Raw genomic sequence first — 15,237 nt, 5'->3', positions numbered from 1 at the left:
GGAAGGATCCCAGTGGCTACTGGGTGTGGAGAAGTGTACGCCCAGGAATGTTGGCACGGCCGCTGTCCTCCCTGCTGTAAGGATGCCTGCCTTCTGATAGGGGTGCCTGCCTAGCTGTGAACTACTGCTGTGTCCTGCTGGGCCTGGCCCCTGGACAGCAAGGCTGCTGCTGGTGTGTGCTGGGAGGGGCTTTGCACCTGAGAACCTGCCCAGGGCAGCCTGGCTGTCGAGCAGACTGGAGAGGCTGTGGGGTGCTTGGACACTGTGGGGCAAACACAGGCCTGAGGGTGTGGTGTGAGTGTGCAGCACGCCGGCGGGTCTCCAGCGTCCGGCTGAGTGTGTCCTTCCACCATTAATGTCATTCTGGTTTTTTTAGATTTTGATGGGCATGAATGAGACCCAGCTGATTGCACTAAGTAAGTGTCCCATTTGGAGACTAGCTTATCCTCTAGCCAGGCCAGGTTCTCTGGCTGACCCCACGCTCCTTGCCTCTGGATGCCTGCTCTCTTGGGGCCTCAGCGTCTGGGTGGTAAGGGCTGGTCCTATAGACCCTGCTCCCTGGGCCCCGGGCTACTCAGGGGCAGCCAGGAGAGGACCCCCATGGGCAGGAAGAGCTCTGCTCATTGTGGGCTTCCCCCTCTGCAGGCCCTGCCGTGGGCCCAGCCCCTGCCAGCTTCCCCTATGGATATGCCTCTGCTCCCAACTTCGCCAGCCTCCAATGTACAACTTCCGCGTGTAGTGGGCGTTGTCACCACCCACCCTACCTGCAGAGTTACTAACTTCTCCAAGGAGCATGTCACTCCAGCAGCACAGGGGACGCAATGGGAGGCAGGGACACCTGGACAATATTTATTTTTGCTGAAACCCAATGACGGCAACCTCTGAGCCATCCCAGAGCCTGGGGAGGCCAGGGTAGAGGCTGACGGCGCAAGACCAGCTTTAGCCGACAACAGAGACTGGACTGTGGGCCCTCCTGCTGGAGCCAGGCCTTCCTCCTGGGCGCCTCCGACTGGCTGGAGCTGCCCCCTCCAGGCCAGTTTGAAGACTACATGAACACGTCTTGTTTGGAGGTACCGGACCTCATAAAAGGACTCTCAGCCTCTTGGCAATCATAAATATTAAAGTCGGTTTATCCAGGCAAAGGTGCTCTGCTTGGTGCTGGTATGGGTAGGAGGGACGGGCCAGTTTCCTAGGCCCCGCAGTCCATTAAAGATTTGCTGGGTCCTCTTTGGGGTGTGGGACCTCCGTTGCCCAGACAAGCTGCCTAGGAGAATACAGCCGCTTGCATTTGTGGTCTTTCCTGACCTTGTTCGCTGAGCGCAGAAACTACAACCGGGAAAGGTGTGGGTGGGAACCGGCAGGTGAGGCCCGGCCCGTGGCTGCTGCGGGAGGGGGGCCCGGCGGCGTAGCCCCTTCTCACCGGCCTCCCGCCTCCCGCCTCCAGGTTTGAAACGTTAGAGTTCCTCTGGGACTGGGCTAGCCCCACGTGTTTTCGGGGAGGGTGTGCCCCTGGCCTCCGGGATCCCTGGGGATCCCGCCGCTCTCGACAGTCGCGCAGACCCGAGGCCCGCTATCCCGCGGCGCGGCACACAGTGCACCTTGACCCACTGCTCGGAGCTGGGCCACGGCTCCGCCTCCCGCAGCCCCGCCCCCGTCCCGCCGCTCGCGGTCGCCCAGGGACTCGGCCTCGGCCATTGGCTGCGCTTTGGCCCCGCCCCTACGCCTGCCTCGGCGCGCCCCGCCCAGGCCTCAGTTTCCCGGCCCGCACGGGGCGGGCTGGGGGCGGGGCCTGGCTCGGACCACGCGGGGCGGGACCTGGAGCTGACGCGGCCGCCCCGCCCCTGGGACCATAACCGGCCGCCGCCGCCACCGCGGACCGAGCGCGGAGTTCTGGAGTCTCGGACCCGAAGCCGCCACAGGGCGCCCCGCCTCCCGCCCGCCATGCCCGCGCCCCGCGCCCCGCGCGCTCTGGCGGCCGCCGCGCCCGCGTCCGGGAAGGCCAAGCTGACGCACCCGGGGAAGGCGATCCTGGCAGGTGGGCCCCTCCGGGACGCGGACCCCTCTCCCGCCGCGCTTCTGGGTGGGCCCGGGACGCTGAGGCCCCGCCCCACTTCCGGGTTGGGCCGTGGGCTGGGGAGTCGTGGAGGCGCGGTCCTGGTCCCCACCCGGCGCGCTGGGACTCGCCCGCCTCCCGTCTGTCACCCCCTGCGCCTCGCCGGGACAACGGGGTGAGGGCATGGGGGCGTGGGGCCCCAGCCTATGTTCCCCGCGGCACTGGCGCGGCGGCCGCGCCGACCGAAGTCCGGGACGGGGGAGGGGCCCGAGCGCCAGCGGCCGGGCGGGAGTCTCAGGAGCGGGTTCCCGGTCCCTGCAGGCGGCCTGGCGGGTGGCATCGAGATCTGCATCACCTTCCCCACCGAGTACGTGAAGACGCAGCTGCAGCTGGACGAGCGCTCGCACCCGCCGCGGTACCGGGGCATCGGTGAGGAGGGGGAGGCCGCGGCGCCGCGGGGGGCGGGTACCCAGGGCGGCGGCACCGAGGGCCGTGGGGTCCTGACCGCCCCCTCCCCCAGGGGACTGCGTGCGGCAGACGGTTCGCAGCCATGGCGTCCTGGGCCTGTACCGCGGCCTTAGCTCCCTGCTCTACGGTTCCATCCCCAAGGCGGCCGTCAGGTGAGGCCCGGCCGGTGGCTGCTGCGGGAGGGGGGCTCGGCCGCGGCAGCCCCTCTCACCCGCCTCCCGCCTCCAGGTTTGGAATGTTCGAGTTCCTCAGCAACCACATGCGGGATGCCCAGGGACGGCTGGACAGCACGCGTGGGCTGCTGTGCGGCCTGGGCGCTGGCGTGGCCGAGGCCGTGGTGGTCGTGTGCCCCATGGAGACCATCAAGGTGGGGAAGGTCCTGGCGAGGACCCCGGACACGCAGGGAGTACGGAGACGGGCGGCCCCGCTGGCCCGGTGCTCCCGGGGCAACCGGCAAGCTGGGGAGGGTCTCCTGGACGCCAGGGAAGGCCGGCGGGGTGACCGCGGGGCCCTGGGGCAGGACGCCTGCCACGAAGGGCCACCCGTGGAGGCTGAGTCTATGCTAAAGGCAGCCTTAAAGTCTTTAAAAAATACTTTTATAAAGCAGAAAACAAAATGACACCTTCACTGCCAAAACTGGAAAAGAGCAGCAAACATAAAGGGAGAGGCTGCTCACAGGGCTGCCCTGTGTCCCAGAGCATGGTCCGTGTGGGCTGCCCTGTGTCCCGGGGCATGGTCCGTGTGGGCAGCCCAGGGCGGCCTTGGCTGCACTGCTTCCTGGGGAAGAGTTCCCAGTTCCCTCCACCCTGGATGGGCCCTGGGCCTGCCAGCTAGCCAGGACCCACCCAGGTGGCAGCCGAGAACCTGCGCCTTTGCTTCTCTCTCTCAGGTGAAGTTCATCCACGACCAGACCTCCCCAAACCCCAAGTACAGAGGATTCTTCCACGGGGTTAGGGAGATTGTGCGGGAACAAGGTGAGCCACTCGACCTTCCTGATAGGGCTCAGGGACCTGGGCCAGGGTGGGAAGGGCCTGCACCTCCCATCCTGCCTTGGGCTTTGTGCAACACCCACCCCCCACACACACCAATTCCCAACCGGGGCCTGAGAGGCTGCAGGGTAACCCCGTGCCTGCCTTCCCGCAGGGCTGAAGGGGACGTACCAGGGCCTCACAGCCACTGTCCTGAAGCAGGGCTCGAACCAGGCCATCCGCTTCTTCGTCATGACCTCCCTGCGCAACTGGTACCGAGGTGTGTCTGCATCACAGGGCCCCATCTCTGCACATGGCCAGCTCCTCTCCTCTCCTTGGGGCCACCCCTGGGTGGCGGGCACCCACCTTTTGAAGTGCTGATCCAGGCCCCTCCCGGCACCCTCTGACCCACCTCACCCCTCCTATATCCAGGGGACAACCCCAACAAGCCCATGAACCCTCTGATCACTGGGGTCTTCGGAGCTATTGCAGGCGCAGCCAGTGTCTTTGGAAACACTCCTCTGGATGTGATTAAGACCCGGATGCAGGTGGTGGGGCCGGGAAGGGGAGGGGAAGGGGGGACCAGGCCAGAGCTAGCTGCTGAGCCCCTGCCTGCTGATGTCCCCCATAGGGCCTGGAGGCGCACAAATACCGGAACACGTGGGACTGCGGCTTGCAGATCCTGAAGAAGGAGGGGCTCAAGGCGTGAGTGGGGGAGGGGCAGGGCTATTGTCCCCACCTCAAACCTTTCCCGGCCTACCTGGCCTGCCCACTCTGTCCCCTTCAGGCCTCTGTGCCTCTCACTTCAGTATCTGGGGATTGCCCTGTGCAGGGACACTGTGCTGACCTGCCTTCCTCTCCCCGCCCCTCCTCCCACCCAGATTCTACAAGGGCACTGTCCCCCGCCTGGGCCGGGTCTGCCTGGATGTGGCCATAGTGTTTGTCATCTATGATGAAGTGGTGAAGCTGCTCAACAAAGTGTGGAAGACGGACTAAGCCTAGAGAGGCCGCAAGGGGACCGCCCCAGGCACCGCCAGAGTGTCCTGCTACCTTTGTCTCACGATTCCAGTGCAGTAGTGCCAAAAGGCCCCTTCCCACGTCCCTCGAGCTCTGTAGCCTGGTCTGTGCATTGTGGCTGTCAAATCCATGTGTCCCCCCTGTGGTCTGTGTGTGACACCACCACTGTGTCCCAGTGTCTGGCCCAGCCATGGCTGGATGTGCATCTGGCCTATGACCCTGTGCCTGTGTTTCATGTTCTGTGTCACGTGACCCTGTGCCCCGCCTCCCGGGGTGCCCGTGTGGCCTGGGTCCTCGGCCCTGTAGCCCTGGCCCGGTCCCAGTCCGGTGCCTTCCACCCTGCCCTGGCCTACCACAGCTGCCTCCGGGCCTCGGCCTGGCTTCACCGCATTCCAGGGGCTGCAGCCCCCTGCTTCTCCCGCCATTGGCCTTAACTGGCCCTCGGGCCCTCTCTCCGCCCCGGACAGGGTGGCACCCACCACTCTCAGGACCACCCTGCCAAGGCAGAATAAACCGGATCCTGTTGCAGCCTCCTGTCCTGTGTTCGTCCCTGTATGGACCCATCTATGCATGGGCATTGGTGGCTGTGCCTCTGCAGGGGACCAGGCCACCCCCATCTGAGGACACTGCAGTAGGGGGACAGGGAAAGCCTAGTGTCCACCCAGGGCAGAGCAGCTGTGGCCACAGTGTTGGCTCCCTGAGAAGCCCAGCGCCAGGCCAAGAAGGATCTGGGTGCACCCTGGCCTTCCCTGTGGCCTCTGGGCAAGATCCCGTGGCATGGGTAAAAGGGTGTGTTGACAAGGCCTAGGGGTGGCCTGGCAGAGTGTTCAGAGCAGGGGGCTGGGCCCAGGAGATGGAGCCCCCAGGACGACTGCCTGCCCCTCACCCACAGGGAAGCTTAGGGAAGGGTTGGGTTGCCCAGGGCCCCTCTGGGGTATGCCCAGCTCCTCAGTGAGTGAAATGGGCTGCTCGTGGGGAGGAGGAGATGGGGGCACGTTGAGGCCTCTGAACTCCAGGTGGGGGTGGGTGTCTGGCATCTGCTACCCAAAGGCTCTGGGCAGGGGCCCTCCCTTGTTCCTTCACCTGGGCTGGGAGGCAGCTGCCCTGGGGCAGCAGGAGGTGGGGCTGCCTGACCAGGGCTCTCTGGGCACCTCATGCCACAGCCATGAGCCTCAGAGAAAGGTGTCCCTCTGGCTGGAGGCCAGAGCTCTGAACTGGCATGTCCCCATGGGGCCAAGCCCCTCTTTCCACAGCCTATGAGCCACGTGGAGGACGCTCAGGCAGGATGGGATCACTTAGTGCCCCTGGCTGTGCAGAGAAGCCAGCTTCCTGTCCAAGTGCCTCCGTGGGGGAAGAGTCATGCAAGCGTTTGGCTCAGACTGGAGAACAAGCTTTTGCCAGCCAGAAACTCCATGTGAACAGGTCCCGTCCCTGGGGAGACTGCCCTGTCCTAGTGACCTCACACAGCACCAGATGCCTGGAATCCCGGGAATGTGCAGCTGGGGAGGAGTCTGGGGTGCAAAGGGCCCGAGGTGGATCTGAGAGCCAAGCATGGGCTTGGGGGTACAAAGGGAGCACGGGGTTTTGAAGCCTCCTTGGGGAGAGCCGCTGGGCTGGGGAGGGCTCGGGGTGGCTCAGCACTCAACCTGTGCTGTGATGGGATGGCCATGCACTCTCTATCCTCACGGCAGACTTCCCCATCTGTTGCCACAGAGAAAGGGCCCAGGCAACAGAGCTTCCCCTTCCGCCCCTGTGCACTAGGGCATGCAAGTGCCACCATGAGAACCCCACGCCAAGATGCTTCCTGTCCCTGGAGCTCAGGCCACTGGTTCTGCACCTCTGAAGCTTTGTTGTGGGGTGGCAAGCAGGCAGTGGGCCACACTGGTCCACAGTGCCAGCCATGAAACCTGGAGGGGCACTCAGCTCTCTGGGGCCTGCCCTCCAGGCCTCAGCATCCACTTGCTGTACTCCCTGCCGGTGCTCAGAATCATGCTTAGCTCAGAGCAAGCCCTCACACATGGCAGCTTTATTCTTGGGGTTGCAAGAGGTTGTTTACAGTCTCCCCAGGTTCCAGGCAGTTCTGGGAGCAGCCAAGCCCTCGCAGCTGCCTGGAGGGGACCCCCACCCTCACATACTGACCTCCAGAGATGCCAGCCACTCACTGCACACCTGCACCGAGTCCTGTCCCTGTCCCTCTCCACAGGAAGGGGCCGAGGCTGCACTAGGTGAGAGCAGGGTGTAGGATGGCATGGGTCTCCACCCTCCCTGGACCCCTGCCATCCTCAGGGTCACCTCGAATCACCTTTGAATCACACGGCAGACATCAGATAGCCCAGCCAGAAATGTTGATTGAGCTGGGTCTGAGTCCCTTGGGGCCACGAGCATGGAGGAGCCACGTACTCTGGTAGATAGAACCCACACTGTAGGCTGCTTCACACATTCCCTCAAGAAGCAAGCAGCCTCCAGTCTTGGAGCTGAGACCCAAGGGGAAAGGTGTCTGTGCAGGAAAGAGCTGGAGGCTGGAGAGGCAGGCAGGGGCCTGGAGGGAGCCAAGTTGCATTTAACCAGACTGCAGAGAGGAGGCCCGCAGCAGGGAGTAGCACAGACTAAGAACACTGGGGCGCACCTGCCCTTAAGGGGCAGAGGAGCAGAGACACGTGGATGGGTCTCCAAGCTAGTCTGCAGGCAGAAGGGTCTTGATTTCTAGCCTGGTGCTCCACGTTTCCCCACTAACCAGGATGCTCGGCCAGTGCTGGGGAGAGCCCCAGGAGGTGGCTAAGTGCACATCGGAGGAGTGGATGGAGACTCCAGGTCACCATGTCCTGCTCCAGCCAGAGCCACGGTGACCAGTTAAAGTCACAGTCTGGAATCTGAACCTTACGGACTGTGCCCAGGAGAGACAATGGCCTCAGAGAAAAGGAAAAGGGAGCTGGTGAGGTCGTGACCACACCTAGGGCAGGGCTTGGCTAACCTCCAGCCTTGTCCTCACTGCTGTGGGACTGAGGCCTCCAGGCAGCTACCCCGCTCCATCTTCCCGCTCCCCAGATTCCTTGACGCTCCCCAGATTCCTTGGCATTCCCCTCACACACTGCTGCGTGCCACGTCCCCCAGACCGGGTTTTCTGTCCCTGTGTAGATGATGAATGGCAGTCAGAGCTTAGTATTCAAAAAAGCCAATGACTCCTGTGGATGGGTCTGTCTCCTCTTCACCAACAAAGAGAATGCTGGTCCGTCTCAGCACTCACAACAAACACTATCTTGGTCGAGGATGCAAGAGTACTATTTTCCTCACTTTTTATTTCCTCTGTGTTTTCACAGATTCCCTGCACAGGGTCTTAGGTAAGGGGCATAGAACCAGGGGCCACCTCAAGACCTGGGAACATGGACTGAACACAGACAAACGGGACAGGGGCAGAGGTGATGCAGGGACAGTGGAGAACTGAAAGGACAGTCTGAAAGGGGTGACGGGAGGACCACAGAGAACACTGAGGATCACGGATAAACATGACAAGGCCACCATGGGTGACCCATGGGAAACATGGTGGCCCTGTAGTTCCACTCCACCCATTCCTACCTGACAAATATCCCTGAGAGCAGCCTCCCTTCTGCTCAGGTTGGGCCGGACCCTGACCCCTGACCCTCCCCAACATGGCCCTTATTACACTGTTGTCACATTTGTCCCCTCTGCCAAATCACATCCATCCACCACCCAACGCCCACTTAATTCTCCATTGACCAGGCCTGACCTGGGAGCCATGACCTGGGAAGCTACACTTAGCCACAGGAGTGTCATCTCCTGAAGTGACCTCAAGGGATGCACCATCTCATCCCTCTGCCCCCAAGTTCTGCTCAAATCCCTGCCGTGGCCGGTGGCTCACTAGCTCCAAGCAGCCGAAGCTCCGTCTCACAAGCGCGGTTCCTGGAGCTCCTGGGGCCCGGGGCACATTCCATGCGCTGGGGGCTGGGGCAGCCGAGGCTGGCGGCCATTCTGCTAGTCGCCCCGAGGCAGCCCTATGCAGGCCCCTGCCGCCGCTACCGATGACCCTGACCAGTCACCCCCTCCTCTCGGGGCCCGGGAGACTCGCCTGGGGTTGTAATGGAAGAAGGTAAATAAAATGCCAGCGATCGTGATCCGGGGGCTCATCCTGCGGGCCGGCCCAGGTCACGGGAGAGGCGCTGTGCCCGCCAGGGCCAGGAGGGTCGCCTGCGCTGAGGGGCGGGGGCCACGGCCGCAGACCACCCGGGCCCCGCTCAGTACCCGGCCATAGGGGGACACGGAGAAGCTTCCTGGGGACCATTTCCGAAAGAGGAATGGACTTCCTCAGCCTCGGGGACCGGCCATCCAGGCAGGGAGGGCCGCCGAGTCGGATCGCGTTCCCGTAGCCCACAGGCTGTGGGGGCGACCACGCTTGCGCTCGGAAGTTGGGGCGGCGCGCGCTGATGGCGTCACGAGGGCGCGTCCAGTCGTCTGGGGCGGCGCACGCGCTCTCCCGTTGCTGCTGGGGCTGGAGCCGCGCTGCTCAGACCCTGGCTGCCTTTGCCGCCTGCACCGCCACTGACTCGACCCCTCGTCCGAGATTGATTGGGCTGCTTGGAGGCCCCTCGCGGTCACTGCCACCAGCCCCTGATCTTCGGGTTTCATCGCGAGTCCCCGTCCTTGCCTGCAGCCCCTGGATTCTCGCCGGCCCAGCCACATCGTCCACCCTCCCCGAGCCTCTGGCGGCGCCTCCCGGGACCAGCGGGGGCCCACGCTGGAGGCTGCCTGGGCCATTCTGACGCACCAGCCTGAGGGAACATTCCCTGGCCTCCCGCCCCTCCTTTCCCCTGCCTAGAGCTGGCCTGCGTGTCCCAGAACTGGGCTTCTCCCGCCTCACCTGCTCCCCACCGCACTCCAGATCGCTGCGGGCGCGGCTTCCTCGCCCTGGAGCACTCTTCCTCTCCCTCCGCATTTTCCCTGTAATTCACACTGCCCTTCAGGCCCTGCCTGGCCCTGTGCATGTGGGGTGCCTGTTTCCCCTTCCCGAAGGGCGCCCTCCCATCCGGTTGTCTAACTGTGTCCTCGGACCCAAGCTCCCAGAGGGCAGAGCCTGGGTCTGTGGCTCACGCCTGTGTCCCCTCCACAGGGCCTGGATGGGAGAATCGTTGGTCACTGCTGAAGGAAGAAAGGGAGGAAGGGAGATGAGAGGGAAGGAAAGACAAATGTACTTATGACTGCGTCTTTTCCTCCACTTGGGACTTTTTGTTCCAATGTCCCTAGTCTCAGCCATGGGAAAGAAGATGGGGACCCAGAGCGCTCCACTGGCCTCTCCTCTGCTACTGCCCACCCCATCCTGCCTGCCTGGTCAGCTCCAGTCCAGCCACTTGTTGCTGCCTGTAGGCTCATGTAAGGCACAGTGACCTTGCCACATCTCCATGGAGGAGGAGGCAGGTGTAAGCACACCCCTCTGAGCCACCTACTCTGGGGGCCTGCTGGCAGGAACAGGAGAAGGAGTCAGGGTTGGGGTTGCGTCCCCACAGAAGATAGCAGTGAGCACAGGCCACACACGACACTGGCACATTCTGGTTGGGCCTTTCCTTAGCCGGCTCCATTCCTCAGATAGGAAAACCCAGACAGAGACAAAGGACCTACCTGGGACCTGTATAGGTCCAGTCCCTCCCTCTGCCGCCTAGTGAGAGAGGACTGAAGATGAAGAGTGAGGATGAATTGAGAGCAGGTGGTGTCACATCTGCCCTGTCAGTGAGTTGGTCAACAGAGGTCTTTAGGGGGCTATACCTGGACAGGGACCCCAAAGGGAAGATGGAGGGTCTGCAAGGGGGCTGCTAGCTGCTGTCAGCGTCCACCCAGTCTGCAGGCTGCCCCCTGACCCTGCTTGATGGGGACAGGTGTGTCATGCATGTTGCCGTGCAACCCAAGCTCAGTGTGTGGGTGGCACCCAGGGCTGCACTGGCTGTCAGGGTCCACAAGTGGTCTGGGTCAGGATGGGGCAGGAACATCCTTCTCTGAGTTCCCTGATTACCCAGGAAGGCTGGCGGGGCAGGGGGTCCACTCATCCAGACCCGTTGGCCAGCCCACCAAGGTGTGCATCTCCCTTTTGGCTCCAAGGCCCGCCTTGGCCGGGTGACAGCTGGGGAAACTGATACCAGCTCGTAGCTCTGGACTGCTGGGTGGCAAGGCCCTGTGGTCGCTGGGAGCCAGGCTTCCTCAGTCCCGCGCGTTCGCTGCTGACAATTGAGCGACCAAAGCAGATTAACTTGGGTGTTAATCCCCACCTAATGGCTTCAGAATCCCCGGCTCCAGGAGCTAAGCCGTCCTTTCTCCGAGCGCGGCCGAGCCCTCCGCGGCTTCAGCCCCGCAGCGGCGCCGATGCTATCTCTGCCTGCCCGGCCGCGGTACCGCGCTAATCCCCGGCGCTCCTTTCTTCCCCGGCCCGTCCAAGGTCGGCCGATTGGGGTTTGATTATGGCCGCTATCGAGGGCCCCTTTGTGCGACCGGCCCTAAATCCCCTAATTCCGTGATAAAAGAGGCATTAGCGGGCGTTTGTGGCTGAGAAAGGAACAGAGATGAAAGAAAGCAATCAGGAGATCCGGACGGCCGCGCCCTCGAGGCGGGGTGGCCTCGACCCAGCGGGGGGCGGCCTGGGCCCGGGCTTCCTCCACCCCAACCAGCCCTGAGCGGGGCCAGCGACCCCTCCCCACCTCCTTGGCTGTCCCTCCCCACTGTTCCGGCTGCCACTTGGCTCGGGAACCCCCTGGGCTCACATGCCGAGGGACCACCCCCCTACCTCAGCCTCACTTTTGCATGTGCGGGATCTGAGGGACCTAACCCCCGGCTCCCTGGGCCCTAGCTGCTCCTGCGTCCCGGCCCTGACTGTCCAAATCCAGTGGTCTGTCCGTGCCCACCCAAAGCTCCATTCCTCTGTGGCCTCTAATTCTCCCCCAGCCCCTCCAGATCCCTGCCCTCTTCATCTGCCTCAGTTTCATCCAGTCCTGGAAACAGTCAGGTCTGTTCTTTAGTCGGGGAAAGAAATGGTGGCAGCCGGGAGCACTGGGATTGTCTAGAGAGGTGCAGGTGGGGACAGTAGGGAAGGCCCCCTTGCAGAGGTGCCAGGAGCCCCAGGATAGGGCGTCAAGGAGCCAGGGTGGATGCATTGAAGGAGCTGACCAGGGACCTGGGCAGCTGAGAGTGAGGAGGGAGGGGACAGATGGGAGAGGTGGCAGAGTCCAGGGCTTCCAGGGACTGAGGACCACTCACTCCGGGCATCTGAAGTGAGGGTGCCATGATGGGACTTCTGTTTGTGGCAAGCATTGACGCCTCTCGGGGAGGCTCACTTTGGGGAGGAGGACAGGAGAGAAAAGTTGCTGGGAGTGGGTTCAAAAGCCAGCCACTGTGGGGGTGCCGGTGGCAGACATCTACGACTGGCGCCAAGGTGGAGGCAGTGCAGAGGGACAGGCGTGGGCAATACCAGATGGAGCTGGAGGTGGACGATGAGATCCGAGGTGGGAGTAGGGAGTGCTAAGCATTGCCCACCAGCTGAGCCTTGAGCAGCTCTAGAGTCAGGTGAGCGCTGCACAGGTGAGTGAGTGGGGCATCTACCTGGACGGACAGGTGTGTGTTTACCAAGGTGCACAGGTGAGTGAGTGGGGCATTTACCTGGACGGACAGGTGTGTGTTTACCAAGGTGCACAGGAGTCGAGGTGTGTGTTTACCCAGGTGAGTAGGTGGGGCCGCGGGCCATTTACTGGGAAGACAAGGGGATGGGTGTGCATAGATGGCTCTATTCAGATCCCCTTTAGGGGTCAGCCTACTGGTCCCCAGCTGCTGACTGTTGCCTCCTGGTGGCTCATGGCCACCTTGGTCTTGGAGAATTGTCCTGGGGAATGAGAGCCACCCACACAGCAGCCCTCCAGACCCAGAGGCAGAACCCTGACAATGGCTGATACCTGGGCATCCCTGCTTTGCCGAAAGGTGGTTCAGATCTGTGAAGTTCTCAGTGTCTGCCACAGCGGTTCCATGTGGAATGATGAAAACTGACCTGTAACAGAGACAGCTTTCTGCTCAGCAGTCTGCACTCTACCACCCAGCCCTGTCCTACTTCCACGGTGACCAGGCATCTCAGTTTTCCCAAGACTAAGGAATTTCCCGGAAAGCAGGGCTGTCAGCACCAAAACCTGGGAAAGTCACAGGCAAATCAGGATGGGGAGTCCCTCTAGGTTTCTGTTGTGTCTCCCAAAGAGATGCCAAAGTCCTCGCTCATCCTATCTGTGAATGTGAACTTATTTAGAAATAAGATCTTTGCAGATGTAATTACACTTAAATTAACTAGCTGGGCATGTTGGTACACATCTGTGGTACCAGCTACTTTGGAGGCTGAGGTGAGAAGATTGCTTGAGCCCAGAAGGTTGAGGCTGCACTGAGCTGTGACCACATCACTGCACTTCAGCCTGGCCAAGAGAGCAAGACCCTGCCTGTAAACCAGACAACAACAAGAACCATGCAAATGAAGATGAAGTCATACCGGAGTAGGGTATGTCCTTAACCCAGTAAGACTGATGAAGTCCTCAGAAGAGAAGAGCCACATACAGGAGAAGACCATGTGGTGACCAAGGTGGAGATGGGAGGGGGCATTTGTGAGCCAAGGAATGCCCAGTGGGTCCAGCAAGGCCAGATGCTGGGAGAAGGGCACCGGGTAGACTGTCCCCTGGAGCCTTCCGAGAGCACGACACTGCTGACACCCTGATCTGGGTTCCTGACCTCTGGAAGTATGAACAAGTAAGCTCCTGTTGGAAACCGTTCAGGGCTCAGCACCACCGGAAGGCAGCACAGACTTCCTCACTCTCCTGGGCACACGCTCAGCAACAGCCCGAGAACAAGAATCCTTGCTTCAGGCTTTGCTTCTAGGGAACTCGACCTCAACAGTGGGTGTCTGGTGGGTGGCCCTGGGAAGCCCACCTGAAGGACAGCACTCTGAAATTGGCTCCTGCGCCGGCAGGGTGGCAACGAGGAGCTGTCACTCTTCTCGTGTTTCCAGCATTTTGTGGTGTTCCATCCTCGTAGATGCCAAGGTGTCAGGTGGAGAACTGACAGCCCCCGGCCTGGGTCACAGTGTGACAGTAAGAACTGTCACCAGGGGGAACTGGGATGGGAGACATTTGGAGGCAGTGTCACTGGTGCAGTGCCCTGGGCACCTGAGAGGTGGGGAGGAACTCCAAGAGCCATGGGACTGAGAGGCTGTTGCTAAGCACTGTTGATTCCTTGAGGAGAGAACATGACAGATCCAGACACACCGATCAACAGCATGAAGCAGAGTGCCCCGCATCAGAGCCCAGCTGGCACATGCAGAGACTGGCCGGCGGGTGGACAGAAATGAAGATGAGGCCCCGGGGGTTAGTGGAGCACAGCCGAACTCCAGGAGAAGCAGGGGATCTCAACCTAAACAAGGCTCTCACAGCAAAGTGACAGCCTGATAGTGAAGGGGTGGGACGCTGATGTGTGGGGCGGTGTATCTGAGTGGATGGCCTTGCGCACTTAGGTTTTTTATTTTGAGAGTTTTTTTTTTTTTTTGAGACAGAGTTTTGCTCTCATTGCCCAGGCTACACTGCAGTGTTGCAATCTAGGCTCACTGCAACCTCTGCCTTCTGGTTTCAAGCAATTCTGCCTCAGCCTCCCAAGTAGCTGGGATTACAGGTGCCCACCGCCATGCCCAGCTAATTTTTTTTGTATTTTTAGTAGAGATGGGGTTTCACCATGCTGGTCAGGCTGGTCTCGAACTGCTGACCTCGTGATCCACCCGCCTTGGTCTCCCAAAGTGCTGGGATTACAGGCGTGAGCCACCGCGCCCGGCCTTGAGGGGTTTATTTGACATGGAGTCTTGCTCTGGTGCCCAGGCAGGAGTGCAGTGGCATGATCATAGCTTACTGCAGCCTCCAACTCCCAGGCTCAAGTGATCGTCCCACCTCAGCCTCCCAAGTAGTTGGGACTACAGGTGTGCACCACCATGCCCTGCTAATTTTTAAAAAATATTTTTTAGAGACAAGGTCTCACTATGTTGCCTAGGCTGTTTTCAAACTCCTGGCCTCAAGTGATCCTCCAGCCTCGGCCTCCCAAAATGCTGGGATTATAGGCATGAGCCACCATGCCAAGCCCTTTATACCTTTTCTATATTTTTCTTGCTTTATTGCACTGACTAAAACCTCCAGGACAACGTTGAATAGAAGTGTCATGGATATCCTTACTTTACTCTTAATTTTAGGGAGAAAATAACCAACGTTTTGCCAGAAAGTATGATATTAACTGCAGGTTAACTATAGATTATTAATAAAGTTGTTCATTATATTCCCTTATTATTCTTTTAAATTCTGCAGAATCTATAGTTACATCCCTTCCCTCAGTCCTGATATTAGTAATTAGTGTTCCTTTTTTCTGATTCAGTTTAGTTTATTAATTTTGTTTATCTTTGGCTTCATTATTTTCTCTATTTTTGCCTTTTTTTTTTTTTTTTTTTTTTCTGAGATGGAGTCTTGCTCTGTCGCCCAGGCTGGAGTGCAGTGGCGTGATCTCGGCTTACTGCCAGCTCCGCCTCCCAGGTTCACGCCATTCTCCTGCCTCAGCCTCCCAAGTAGCTGGGACTACAGGTGGCCGCCACCAGGCCCAGCTAATTTTTTGTATTTTTTAGTAGAGACGGGGTTTCACCGTGTTAGCCAGGATGGTCTCGATCTCCTGACCTCGTGATTT

At 60.6% G+C, this 15,237-nt stretch overlaps 2 protein-coding genes and 1 long non-coding RNA gene across 20 annotated transcripts in view, besides 11 other annotated features; 2 read left to right on the top strand and 1 right to left on the bottom strand.

The window, feature by feature from the left end:
• Window positions 1–1,142, top strand: part of CLTCL1 (clathrin heavy chain like 1) — a 112,247-nt gene extending 111,105 nt beyond the window's left edge. For all 15 annotated transcript variants that reach the window (XM_047441517.1, XM_047441515.1, XM_017028954.3 and 12 more), the window contains 2 exons: window positions 377–416; window positions 646–1,142. In XM_047441517.1, the coding sequence (XP_047297473.1) occupies window positions 377–396 (20 nt within the window). In that variant the 3' untranslated portion in view covers window positions 397–416; window positions 646–1,142. The remainder of the gene's footprint in view (window positions 1–376; window positions 417–645) is intronic.
• Window positions 1,283–1,382: a silencer, noted in NCBI's record as "silent region_13457". NCBI's record gives its function as "represses an Ori minimal core promoter by ATAC-STARR-seq in GM12878 lymphoblastoid cells {active_cell/tissue: GM12878}" and the evidence as "EXISTENCE:reporter gene assay evidence [ECO:0000049][PMID:35858748]".
• Window positions 1,583–2,662: a silencer, noted in NCBI's record as "silent region_13456". NCBI's record gives its function as "represses an Ori minimal core promoter by ATAC-STARR-seq in GM12878 lymphoblastoid cells {active_cell/tissue: GM12878}" and the evidence as "EXISTENCE:reporter gene assay evidence [ECO:0000049][PMID:35858748]".
• Window positions 1,834–2,581: an enhancer, noted in NCBI's record as "H3K27ac-H3K4me1 hESC enhancer chr22:19165547-19166294 (GRCh37/hg19 assembly coordinates)". NCBI's record gives its function as "activates a minimal SCP1, AML or CMV promoter by ChIP-STARR-seq in naive H9 embryonic stem cells {active_cell/tissue: H9 hESC(naive)}" and the evidence as "EXISTENCE:reporter gene assay evidence [ECO:0000049][PMID:30033119]".
• Window positions 1,879–5,034, top strand: SLC25A1 (solute carrier family 25 member 1). Of its 4 annotated transcripts, none has more exons than NM_005984.5 (9): window positions 1,879–2,035; window positions 2,375–2,482; window positions 2,574–2,673; window positions 2,750–2,888; window positions 3,411–3,495; window positions 3,665–3,769; window positions 3,922–4,037; window positions 4,121–4,194; window positions 4,371–5,034. In NM_005984.5, exons 1-9 carry the CDS (start codon window positions 1,942–1,944, stop codon window positions 4,483–4,485), a joined length of 936 nt encoding a protein of 311 aa, NP_005975.1. In that variant the 5' UTR covers window positions 1,879–1,941; the 3' UTR covers window positions 4,486–5,034. The 4 variants fall into 4 exon arrangements, 3 of the variants coding, with proteins under 3 accessions (NP_005975.1, NP_001274316.1, NP_001243463.1); NM_001287387.2 differs by lacking the exon at window positions 1,879–2,035 and adding an exon at window positions 2,110–2,228; NR_046298.3 differs by lacking the exon at window positions 2,750–2,888.
• Window positions 4,832–5,579: an enhancer, noted in NCBI's record as "H3K4me1 hESC enhancer chr22:19162549-19163296 (GRCh37/hg19 assembly coordinates)". NCBI's record gives its function as "activates a minimal SCP1, AML or CMV promoter by ChIP-STARR-seq in naive H9 embryonic stem cells {active_cell/tissue: H9 hESC(naive)}" and the evidence as "EXISTENCE:reporter gene assay evidence [ECO:0000049][PMID:30033119]".
• LINC01311 (long intergenic non-protein coding RNA 1311) lies at window positions 7,783–8,909 on the bottom strand. The gene has a single exon (NR_103767.1). It is a non-coding gene; the product is annotated as a long intergenic non-protein coding RNA 1311 (long non-coding RNA).
• Window positions 8,025–8,961: an enhancer, noted in NCBI's record as "H3K27ac hESC enhancer chr22:19159167-19160103 (GRCh37/hg19 assembly coordinates)". NCBI's record gives its function as "activates a minimal SCP1, AML or CMV promoter by ChIP-STARR-seq in primed H9 embryonic stem cells {active_cell/tissue: H9 hESC(primed)}" and the evidence as "EXISTENCE:reporter gene assay evidence [ECO:0000049][PMID:30033119]".
• Window positions 8,025–9,039: a biological region, named in NCBI's record as "H3K27ac hESC enhancer GRCh37_chr22:19159167-19160103".
• Window positions 8,290–8,469: an enhancer, noted in NCBI's record as "active region_18657". NCBI's record gives its function as "activates an Ori minimal core promoter by ATAC-STARR-seq in GM12878 lymphoblastoid cells {active_cell/tissue: GM12878}" and the evidence as "EXISTENCE:reporter gene assay evidence [ECO:0000049][PMID:35858748]".
• Window positions 8,500–8,569: an enhancer, noted in NCBI's record as "active region_18656". NCBI's record gives its function as "activates an Ori minimal core promoter by ATAC-STARR-seq in GM12878 lymphoblastoid cells {active_cell/tissue: GM12878}" and the evidence as "EXISTENCE:reporter gene assay evidence [ECO:0000049][PMID:35858748]".
• Window positions 8,650–8,819: a silencer, noted in NCBI's record as "silent region_13455". NCBI's record gives its function as "represses an Ori minimal core promoter by ATAC-STARR-seq in GM12878 lymphoblastoid cells {active_cell/tissue: GM12878}" and the evidence as "EXISTENCE:reporter gene assay evidence [ECO:0000049][PMID:35858748]".
• Window positions 8,900–9,039: an enhancer, noted in NCBI's record as "active region_18655". NCBI's record gives its function as "activates an Ori minimal core promoter by ATAC-STARR-seq in GM12878 lymphoblastoid cells {active_cell/tissue: GM12878}" and the evidence as "EXISTENCE:reporter gene assay evidence [ECO:0000049][PMID:35858748]".
• Window positions 10,836–11,773: an enhancer, noted in NCBI's record as "H3K27ac-H3K4me1 hESC enhancer chr22:19156355-19157292 (GRCh37/hg19 assembly coordinates)". NCBI's record gives its function as "activates a minimal SCP1, AML or CMV promoter by ChIP-STARR-seq in naive H9 embryonic stem cells {active_cell/tissue: H9 hESC(naive)}" and the evidence as "EXISTENCE:reporter gene assay evidence [ECO:0000049][PMID:30033119]".

The sequence above is a fragment of the Homo sapiens genome, chromosome 22, assembly GCF_000001405.40.
Source record: "Homo sapiens chromosome 22, GRCh38.p14 Primary Assembly".
NCBI lineage: Eukaryota > Metazoa > Chordata > Mammalia > Primates > Hominidae > Homo > Homo sapiens.
Note: the sequence above shows the minus strand (reverse complement) of the source record. Positions and strands in the feature narration are given on the sequence as shown.